This window comes from Homo sapiens, chromosome 18 (genome assembly GCF_000001405.40).
Source record: "Homo sapiens chromosome 18, GRCh38.p14 Primary Assembly".
Classification (NCBI taxonomy): Eukaryota; Metazoa; Chordata; class Mammalia; order Primates; family Hominidae; genus Homo; species Homo sapiens.
Window position 1 is genome coordinate 39,637,828 of NC_000018.10, and position 12,403 is coordinate 39,650,230.

At 34.6% G+C, this 12,403-nt stretch overlaps 1 long non-coding RNA gene across 1 annotated transcript in view; it reads right to left on the reverse strand.

Annotated features, from left to right (window-relative positions):
* Window positions 1-12,403, reverse strand: part of MIR924HG (MIR924 host gene) — a 545,072-nt gene that overhangs the window by 430,904 nt on the left and 101,765 nt on the right. The gene's annotated exons all lie outside the window — the stretch shown is intronic.

Sequence of the window (12,403 nt, forward strand, 5' to 3'; positions counted from 1 at the left end):
GTTTATAAATTGCCCAGTCTGAGGTATTTTGTTATGGCAGCCTGAATAACTAAGACACTAGTATTACCAACTATTGCTGTCTAATGAAACAAAATGCAGTTTTAAAGTTGAGATAATAATGGATGCTAATAATATATACACCCTTCAAAATCTAGAACAGATTTTATTTTTCCATTTAACCTTCTTTGACTATCTCAGTATAAAGTGATAACCAGCCCCTGCCCCTTGACTTCTGTTCCTTCTCACTCACCTGCTGCTTGCTGTTATTACTTAGTATTTTATGTGAATAAAATATGACTGTTATGCAATATCACTACTTTTTTCTATCAGAACTTATACCTTGAAATGATTACTGTCCCTTGGGCAATTATACAATTATTTTAATAATGGAGCCCTAACTTAGAACACTGCTTGAATTCCTCTTTTGGAATTTTCTTCAAAGCTTGTAGCACATTTTTTTTTTGAAAGCCTCAATAGTGGTAAATCTTCATCTCTTGCAGATGGATTCAATTTTTAGAAATAGCTAAAAGTCATTCAGAGCCAAGTCTAGTGAATAAGATGAGTGATCAAGCTGGGTAATGCAGTTTTTGGTTAAAAACAAGATTTGATTATAACCTAATGAGACTTATATTCTTGTGCTGCTCACAAATTGACTCTGAGAGGAATTCCAAAACAGAGTTCTAAAACCGAAGCATGGCAGTTTTCTTTAAATAGATGGCTAGTGTTTGATGGTGACTAGGCTTATGCTAAGGCACAGAAATTGGAACTAAACACATTATTTTATAGATTAAAAAAACTGGAGATCAAAAAGGTGAACTCACTGGCCGAGGTTCAGTAGACTAAGAATACAATGTCTAACAGTTGCAATAATCCAATAATAAAGTATCTTGGGAGGTGCTAAATAAACACTTTAGATGGTATTGATTAAATCACAAGGAGGAAATGCACATGTTGCAATAAGCCAGGTAGGATTGTTCATAAACTAAAGGGAATGTTAAGACTTTGGTCTGGGTGTAATTTGCAGTGCTCCAAAATCTTTTAATATTTACAAAACGCAGAGCTGACATTGAGCTCCAAGACTCACCATGAGTGTTCTCATCAGAACACATTAAGTCTTATCTTTAGAAGAAACCATGGAGTTTATTTGGCTCACCTACTCATGAGGAGGTTGATCTGTACAATACAAAAGATTACATTAATATTTTGGCTGTTTTCATCTCTTTAGGGATGGACAGCTCATATTGAGACACTCACTTGCAGCTCCATTTATTAAACTTTAATTTCTAAATTAAGCTGAAATTGCTGTATTCTCTATGTATTATAACTATCTCTGAAAACTCTCTGACCATAAGGTACAACCTGAATAAATATAGTAACTTATATATATTTAAAGAAAATCATCAAAAATATCTGTCTTCTCTTCTTAAAACTAAATATTCCATTATCTTCAAACTTCCCGCATATGAAGTAATATCCAAGCCTCATTCCTATACGGGTGGCCTTTAAAACGTGAAATTCTTTTAGAAAATTGATACATTAAAATTGTTACGGCCATCCTCCGGGCAAAACCCAGTTTCTCTATTTGTCTCTTGAAAGGTGGGATTTTGAAACATGCATATATAAGAGACGTTTGCCTACCCAGAGTGAAACTGGACTGGCTTTTCCTTAAATATGGGATTACAGCCTCTATTAATGGAGATCATTCCAAAGTAGCCAAAATATTACATTTTTTTTGAGAGCTTGGCCTCATGTGTCACATTTTTATGTTTGTTAATATTGAAAGCCAGTGAAATCTGGTCTCTGGCCTCTATTTCATAATATTTTCTCTGGATTCATATCCCCTTTTCCCCCAAACAGTTTATATTATTTTCAAAATACTTCAGACTTTTAAACATCTTTCATTCACAATTTTACTTGATTCTCTCAGTTGTCTAAGAAAATCAGGCATTATTATCTTCCCTTATGGGTAAACTATCTGAGAGTTGTGATTGTGAAAACCAGCTATTAGGGGTTAAAGAAATTGCACATAATTATACACGTTGTTTAGCAAACACTACTTGGAGAAAAGAGGGCAATAGGTATAGAGTACTTGCTTTAAAAAATCATGAAAAGCAAAGAAGAAAATAATCTCACTCAGGGACAGCAGAATTAAAATGAAGAGATTTTAAAACAGATTTTTTTAGTTATAGAAGGTAAGTCTTTAATGCTGTTTAAAAATCATTGACCACATCTCTCTTCTACACTCTGCTTTGTGTTAAGTAACTTAACAGATGTAAGAGATGATATGGGACTGGTGTTTGAAGAGTTTACAAATAAATTGGAAAACCAGGTTTGCACACTTAAAACTATGAGATCACTTCTAATGTAAAAAAGTATAAAATGTGTGAAATATATTTTCTAAATAAAGGATGTTTCTGAAATATATCAAGGCTATTAACCGAAACCTTACCCATTGCTCAAGCTCTTAAGGCTCTTTTAGTTCATCAAAACATTTTGAACTAATTTTGTTTTTTTTTTTTGAGGTGGAGTTTCGCTCTTGTTGCCCAGGCTGGAGTGCAATGGCACGATCTCCGGCTCAGCACAACCTCTGCCTCCTGGGTTCAAGCAATTCTCCTGCCTCAGCCTCCCGAGCAGCTAGGATTACAGGCCACCACATCCAGCTAATTTTGTATTTTTAGTAGAGACAGGTTTCTCCATGTTGGTCAGGGTGGTCTCGAACTCCCAACCTGAGGTGATCCACCTGCCTCGGCCTCCCAAAGTGCTGGGATTATAGGCATGAGCCACTACGCCTGGCTTGATACCATTTCACTATAGTGTTCATCTTCAATATTTCAGCACTAGATGAAGAAATAGGAACCCATATGATTACATTAAAATTTTCCATAACATGACTAAAAAATAAACGGAAGAGGTCACCACACATTAAACTATTGGACTAAGGGACAAATTTTAACTTTTACTTAAAAACTCTTTGACAATAAATAATGGTCCATGAGGAATCCATGTTTAACTCATGGCTTCTTGTGTTCCGAGATCACACAATTCCCATTCAAATGCTTTGTTTAATACAGTGTAAATATATGAAATTGACCCATCTCTGGTACCTTTGGCCAGCTTCTGAAATCATATGAAAATTGCGTTTTGCTTTGGTCTGCTTCTGAAATCAAGTGTTTTGATTAACTTCAGAAGTCAAGTGCACAACAAGGATTTTATGAATTCACCTTAACTTTTCTTTCTAGGTTAGAAATGGCAAATAACATTATATTTGCATAAATATTATGAACTAAAATCTATTAAGAATATAATATAACTCCTGTGACATACCTAAAAGATTACAAAAGACAATGTGTTCAGTGTGCCCTTTGAGAATCTCAGTCTGAACATTAGAAAAATGATTTACAAGATGGGGCAGGAAGTGCAGTAATTGGAGGTACGGACGGAGGGTCATAAGAACCCTGGAGACAGAAAGTCAGGAGAGCTATGTAAGATCTCAAAAAATGTGTAGAAGAATATTATGATGTCTTTGAACTCCTATAGAGAACTGCCAGTGGCTCTTTTTAGGAGTACTTTGTCATATCCCAATGGAATACATGCATTCGATACAAATCTATTAAGTTTTCAAGTTCTTTTATTCTGTATTTGATACAAATCTATTAAGTGCTCACTATGTACCAGGCACTGAGCCAGACTCCAGGGATAGAGAGGTTCAAGGTAAATAAGGTCCCTGCCCTTTTCAACTGAACAATCTACTTGAGATAGTCAAACATGTATTATTTAACCAGACTAGAAATAATTCTTCAAAGAGTAAGTACAAGGAGTAACAGGACGGATCTGACTTTTTCTGGAGTATCAGTAAAGACCTTCTTGTGAACTTGAAGGGATGATGACATTGTTGAATACCAAAACTGATTAGGAATCACTTTCATAAAAGTCAGGATGGGGCCAGGTGTGGTAGCTCACGCCTGTAATCCCAGCACTTTGGGAGGCCGAGGCTGGTGGATCATGAGGTCAGGAGATCTACACTATTCTGGCCAAAGTGGTGAAACCCCGTCTCTACTAAAAATATAAACACACACACACACACACACACACACACACACAAATTAGCCGGGCATGGCGGCGTGCACCTGTAGTCCCAGCTCCTCAGGAGGGTGAGGCAGGAGACTTGCTTGAATACAGGAGGCAGAGGTTGCAGTGAGCCAAGATTCTGCCACTGCACTCCAGCCTGGGCAACAGAGCAAGACTCCGTCTCAAAAGAAAAAAAAAGTCAGGATGGTGGGAAGGAAAGGAGGGGGTGATAGGAGGAGAGGCCTGATAGAGAAAAACCATTTCAAAAAAAAAAAATGAACTTTACGGAAAAATATATTCAATTCCAAAACTAACTCTTCCAGTCTGTCTCGACTGTCACCCGCCCACGTTGTCTCTGCTCTTCATAATATTCTGCCTCAAAGATGGGTGATGGCTTAGATGGGCAATGAAGATACAATGATGTTATTTACCCATTCTTCCCACAAACATTAAATACAAAATGTATAAAAGAAGTGGCAGATGTTCATATGATAGGGTGTGAGAGACACGTGTTAGTGTCCCAAAGTACCCATAAATATTTTCTCCGATAATATACAGGGATCTTAGAAACACTATAAGAACCTTATAAAAGTTGATTCCATTATATCGGTAATTAAAAAACTGAGGCTGACTAGGGTTACCTGATTTTCATAAGAGCTATTCAGTCTCAAGGCAGAGCTCGAACTAATAACTATGCTTCTTGTACTTTCGATTGAATAGTAAACATCACCCCTGTGCAATAGAACTTTCTAAGATTATGGAAATGTTCTATATCTGCTGTGTCTAAGACAGTAACCACCAGACACAACTGACTATTGAGCACTTGAAATGTGGATGATTTGATTTCGCACTAATGTTTTTAAATATTTTTTAAAATTAATTTAAATTTACATAGGTATATGTAACCAGTGGCTACTGTATTGGATAGTGCAGCTCTAGAACATTCATCTAACTTAAAGAAAAATTAAAAAGAAAGTTAATTCTATTTTAGAGTAAATGAAAAAAATCAGGTTAATTCACAGTGCTATTGTAAGGGAAAAGGGAAACATAACACACAAGGATGGCTACACATATTCATATTATTTTTAGGTAATGTCAACATGTACAACAGAAAAAGCCTTTTATGCCAAATAATTTTAGCTATAACAATAGTAAATTTAGCTATAACAACAGTAAAAATTAGCTATAAAACCAGTAAATTAGAATTAGTAAATTCTAATCACAGTATGTAATTGGCATATGATAAACTGTATATATTTAACTTGTGAAATTTTATTTTTTAAATGTATGTATACATCCATGAAAACCAAGACTACAATCAAGGTAAGAAACATAAACATTATCTGGCCGGGCGCGGTGGCTCACGCCTGTAATCCCAGCACTTTGGGAGGCCGAGGAGGGCGGATCACAAGGTCAGGAGATCGAGACTATCCTGGCTAACACGGTGAAACCCCGTCCCTACTAAAAAAATACAAAAACATTAGCTGGGCATGGTGGCGGGTGCCTGTAGTCCCAGCTACTCGGGAGGCTGAGGCAGGAGAATGGCGTGAGCCCAGGAGGCGGAGCTTGCAGTGAGCTGAGATCAAGCCGCTGCACCCCAGCCTGGGTGACTGAGCAAGACTCTGTCTCAAAAAAAAAAAAAAATATATATATATATATATATACATTATCCATAAAAGTTTTTCACACCCCTTTGTAATCTCTCCCACCTGCCAGTCTTCATCTCTCCTCCCTGACCCTCCATAGCACTCATAAGGCTATTGATCTGTTTTTTGTCATTATAAATTAGTTTGGATTTTCTAGAATCTTACATAAATGGAATCACACAGTAGGTCCTCTTTCTTGTCTCACTTCTTTCACTCAGAATCTCAGAATAATTATTTTGAAATTTATTCATCTGTGGTATGTAGTTTCTAATAGTTCATTTGGAAAATTAATTGGTAGTTTTCCACTGTGTAGACATACTATTATTTGCATATCTAGTCACCTACTGATGATTATTTGGGCTGTGTCTAGTTCTTGACTATAATAAGCAAAACTATAAATATGTGAGTATAAGACTCTTTGTTTGCATGGACATATACATTCATATCTCTTGGGTAAATACCCAGAAGTGTAATGCCTAGATTATATGGTAGTTGTATATTTAATATTTTAGTATATTGCTAGTCTTTTCCAAACTGTTTATACCATTTTACATGCCCACCTGTCCAGTTCTTCCATATCTCCTCCAACATTTGGTAGGGTTAGTCTTTAATTCCAGATTTTCCACAGCACCACTTATTGAAAAGACTAATTAATAAATTGCTTTAGATCACATGTGTGTGGATCTATTTCTGGATTCTTTATTCTAATAAAGAATTTATTTGTGATTTTTAGAACTTTATAGTGCCTTGAAGCTAGCTAGTGTAAGATACCTGAATTTGTTCTTTTACCAAATTGCTTTGACTATTTTAGCTTTTCAAATAAACATAAATTTTTACACAAATACTTTGATAGATTGCTTCTACAAAGGAATTTGTTCAATTCATCTAAGTTGGTGAATTTATTGCCAAACAGTGGTTCATAATATTTCCTTATTGTCTTTTTAATATCTCTATAATCTGTACTGATCTCTTTTCAGATATTGGTAATTTCTCCTCTTCTTCCTCCTCCTCTGCTTCCTCCTCCTTCTCCTTCTCTTTCGCCTCCTCTTTTTCTCTCCCAACCTGTCTGGTTAAGATATACCCACTTTATTAATCTTCTTCAAGAACCCACTTTTGGTTTTATTCATTTGCTGTTTTATTTTTTCCATTCTGTATTTAGACTTTCACTGTGATATTTCTATTTTTTTCCTCTACTTACTTTGGGTTTCTGTTTTAGATCTTCCTTTTAGTTTGATATTTTTTTCTAAGTGTTGTTTTAGCTACTGTTAATCAATTTTGATATGTCATGTTTTAGCCTTAATTCAGTTAAAATATTTTTAAATTGGCCTTTTGACTCTTTCTTTGACATTTGTGTTATTTAGAAGTTTGCCATTTTGTTTCTAAATATTTGGGAGCTTTTCAGAGAATTTTTTTTTACTGTTTTCTAGTTTACTTCTACTGAGTCAAATAACATACTTTCTATAACTTGAAGTTTTGTAGATTTATTGAGAATTGTTTTATGGCTCAGAATACAGTGTATGTTGGTAAGTTCCATATGCTCTTGAAAATGTATTTTATATATACATACATTATTTTTATGGACATTATATATACACATATTTTATATATACACAATGATATATTATATAAGTATTATATATAATATATAATGTATATATAAAATACATTATATACACAATATGATATATATTATATATTATATAAGTATTATATATAATATATAATGTGTATATATTATACATATTTTATATATATATATATATATATATATATATATAGACTCTACTGTTTTTCAGTGTTCTATAAGTGCCAGTTAGATCACTTTGGTAAATAATGTTATTCAAGTCTTTCATATGCTTTTTAATTTCATATATGCATGCTGTATCAATTATTGCAAAAAGAGTATTGAATATGAGACCATATGCAGAGGACTGTATATTTCTTTTGCAATTATATCAGTTTTTGCTCCCTGCATTTTGAAGGGTTTTGTATTGTGTGTAAATATTGGTAATTGTTATTTCCTAATGTTGAACTGACTTCTTTATCATTATGAAATAAAGCTCTTTATATTTTATGATCACTACTTTTAAAATGGTATATCTTTGCCATCCTTTTACTCTTAACATATATATGTCGATTTATTTAAAGTGAAGTATTTCTTGGAAGTATCATATCAGTTTATCTTGCATTTTCATCCACCTAATAATCTCTCATTTTTAATTGGGTTGTTTAAATTATTTAATGTGATTATTGATATGGTTGGGTTTAACTCTACCAAATTTCTGCTTATTTTTTATTTGGTTGATATGTTTACTTTTTCCCATGACTCCTTTTTGTCCTTTTAGAATAATTGGGTATTTTTTTCTAATGCCATTTTATCTCCTTTTGGATTTTGTCAACGGTAATTTTGTTTTGTGATATTAGTGTTTTTTTTAGAGTTAGGATTACTTTAACTTATAATAGGCTTCCTTCCAGTTGTATTACATGATGCACAGTATAAGAATCTTAGAACTGTATAATTTCTTATATTGAATACTGGCTTGTACACTACGTTTGTCACATATATGACCTTTACATATGTTATAAGACATATAACATATTATTATTTTTACTATAAACATTCCAGCATATTTAAATTATATTCAAGTAATAAAAAATTGGTATGTAGATTTATTTAACTAATTACTGTTTTCAATTTTCTTTATTTTTTGGTGTATAGGCAGACTTTTTTTGCATATAGGATTTTTTTTAAACTTTCTTATAAAGTAAGTATGCCGGTGATGAGTTTTTGCAGCTTTGTATAATGGAAAATGTCTTTATTTCCCTTTCATTTATGAAGGATATTTTTACTCAGTAATTATTTCCAGGTTGATATTTTTTCTTTTATTATTTTAAAGATGGCGCTCCACTGTCTTCTCTCTTGTTTCCAACAAGAAATTCATTGTAATATTTATCTTTGTTCCACCATTAAAAATATACTACCCCTGCCTCCACCTAGTGACTTTTAAGATTTTCACTCAATTAACCATTGGAGCAATTTCATTATGATGTAACATGCTAGGTTTCTTCAATTTAAAGAGCTTAGGGTTTGTTGAAATTCTTGGATTGTTGGATTTTTCTTTAATCTAATTTGGAAAATATATGGCCATTATTTCTCCAAATACTTGTTTCTTTTTTACTTTTTTAGGGATTCCAATTACAGCTGATTTATGCTCTGTTCACTTTTTTCCCTTCTTTTTTTTAATTTAATTTAATTTTAAGTTCTGGGGAACATGTGCAGGATGTGCAGGTTCGTTACATAGGTAAACATGAGCCATGGTGGTTTGCTGCACTTATCAACTCATCACCTAGGTATTAATCCTGCATGCATTAGCTATTTGTCCTGATGCTCTCCCTCCCTTTGCACCTGCCGCCCCCCCAACAGGCCCCAGTGTGTGTTGTTCCCCTTTTCCCTCCTTTTTATTTGTACTCTTTGTTTCATTTCGAAATGTTTCTATTGCAATGACTTTAAATTCTCAAATCTTTTTGCTCCATTGTTTAATCTGCCATTAATCCTATCTAGCATATTTTTCATTATGGATTTTAAAATTTTCATCCCTAGAAATTTTATTTAGACTGTGTTTAAATCTCTCACATCTCTACTTAACATGTTCAATCTTTCATCTTGATTTTTGAACATGAACTGTTTTAGTGTCCAATTATACTAACTCTATTATCTGTGTAATTTCTATGTTAGCTACCATTATTTTTTCTCCTTATTATGAATTTTATTTTCTTGCTTTTTTAACTGCTTTCAATACATGTCAACATGTCAGACATTATAGATTTTAACTTGTTTAATTTTTACCAAAAATTGCTATACTCCTATAAATATTATTGGTTTTGTTCTGGGACAGAGTAGAGTCATTTGGAAACATTATGATACTTTCAGGTTTTACTTTTAAGCTTATCAGTTAGAAAAAGTAAAACATGATATTAGGGTTAATTTTTCTCTACCTCTGAGGCAAGGCCCTTCATTACCTAAGGTCCTGTGCATTATAAGAAATTTTACTCAGGCTGGTGACAACACAAACTATTCCTGGCCCTGTATGACCTGTACAGGTTGTTTGTTCTAATCCTATGGATAAGTCTTTCCCTCATTTTAGAATGTTGCTTCACATTAATGTGTTGACCAGTACTTAGCTGAATACTTGAGTGCCTCTTGTCTTAGTCCATTTGTGTTGCTGTAAAGAAATGCTTCAGGCTAGGTAATTTACTAAGAGCAAGGTTTATTTGGTTTACAATTCTGCAGGCAGTACAAGAATCATGGCACTAGCATTGGCTTCTGGGAAACGCTTCAGGCTGCTTTAGTTCATTGAATAAGGTGAAGAGGGAAGCCAGCTTGTGCAGAGATCACAGAGTGAGAGAGGAAGCAAGAGACAGGAAAAGTACTAGGCTCTTTCTAACAGTTCTCGTGGGAACTAATATAGAATGAGAACTCATTCATTACCATGAGAACAGCACCAAGCCATGCATGAAGGATCCACCCTCATAACCCAATACCTCCCACTAGGTACCACCTCCAACATTAGGAATCAAATTTCAACATGAGGTTTAGACAGATCAGATATCCAAACCATAGCTGCTTCATTAGCAGATCCTCAGAGTTCTCTCTTGTGTAGCTCTCACCTCTCAGAAACTCTGTCCTGCAATTTTTAGTCATCTAGTTTCCCTGGACTTCCAGCCCTATCTCCTCAACTCGAGAAGTCTATTAAGCTCTTTCTGGGTTCTCACAGTTTGTGTCATAGCTTGGAAACTCTCCCAGCAACGTGCAGGAACAATCAAGGGCTTATGTAATTTGATTCCCATATGTCAGAGATTGTTCTTCCTTCTAGGTTGATCCCCAGCTTCTTGGGAACTGTTGTTTCATAAATTATGTCTATAGCTGTTTCTGATAGAAGAGTAAATCTAATTATAATTACTCCATCTTGGTTAAAAGGGGAAGTACCCAGATCACAGTATTTTTCATAAGATTTATGGATCCAAGCCACTTGTATCAAGAATATCAACAGAGTATTTGTTTGATTTGCTGGTAAGTTTCTATGTTTAACATCAATTTGTTAAAATATCTTTTGTGAATCTACTAGTCACTACAACTGATGTTTTCACAGTTTAACTTTTTTCTTTCTCCTTCCTTCCTTCCTCCCTCCCTCCCTCCCATCCTTTTCTTTCTTTCCTGCCCTCTCCTTCCTTCTTTCCTTCCTTCCTTTCTTTCTTTCTCTTTTCTTTCTTTCTCTTTCTTTCTTTCTCTTTCTTTCTTGCTTTCTTTCTCTTTCTTTCTTGCTTTCTTTCTTTCTCTCTCTTTCTCATTTCTTCCTTTTTCCTTCCTTCCTTCTTTCTTTCCTTTCTTCTTCCCTTTCATAAAGCTTAAACAAATACCTTTCGTATTCTAGGAAAGTAAAGACATTGGCCAGGCAGGTGTACAATTTAGAGATGATAGGGAGATATGATGTGAGGAATTTAGATTGTTAGCAGCCTAGGGAAACAGAAAAGACGCACTCCTTGTGGCACAGTTTGAGTCACAGACTTAAAATCAGTAGATTCACAGAACTTGGAACTTGACTTACAATTTTAAAAAATCCATAGTACAATGAAGAACCTTTAAGGGGATGTATCATCATAGTTGTCTCATTTTTGGAGTCCCGACTTCCTATAGAGTGCAGATGGAATTCAAAAAGAGAAGTTTACTAAATTGATTTTGATCTATGTTGGGAAATCTTTTCAAATTTAAAATCTCTTCAGAGTTGTGACTTTCCTACTCTTTATTAAAATAGTACCTTGAAAGATAGCAAAGGAATGAACAACTCACCCTTGGCTCTTTTTTCTTGGGAAGGCTGGAAGAAGTTCCTAGTCCTTCTCCCTGCCTTTTGTATCACACCATCTCAAAGTACTTCTTTCTCTAACATTGTGCCCACTACCTACCAATATTGCACACCAGGCAGTTGTCAGGCCGTGCATTCAAACGCAGTGGGAGGAAATACCTGGAAATGATGTGTAGTGAGGCCCAGTGTCTCTCATCCTCTCTTAGCTAAACAGCTACCGTGGGCCTGCTGAGGATTGCTGCCTTTAAGGTGGTTTACTGAGCTTCCTGGAGTACTGTTATTGTGTCTCCAATAGGTGAGAGTCCTGAGATCTACTGGGGGGTAAAATGGAAATCATGGCAGTTTATTATTCCATTCATCATATCATGCTTGTTAGCATGCTGTTTTATAGCCACATTTCTCCACAGTAGAACCATTTTAGTGTGCAAATTCTACATTTTTAGGTTAATTTACACAATATATGATGTAAAGATAAACGAGTCTATGTTTCTCACTAACCAACAGGAATTGTCCCCAGTAGATAATGAGTAATCAATCAAGATGAGACAGAAGTCCTCCCCAATGAAAATTAAATATCTTATTTGCAAAGATGGAAAGGAACTAATGAGCAAGTGCTACTAACAAACGCTGAGTTTCATTCAGCTTCCTAAGACATGTTTAAAGAGCTATGGACAAATCTTCATGCTATAAAGGACAATTGCTGCTTAGTTTCTTGGACAATCAATGAGAATGAGGCACATCACTATCTATAAGATGACTTCTGCATCCTATACTTTCTGGTCAAAGACCAGCTGAAACTTTTTCATATTTTTCCTAAAGGGCTGCATA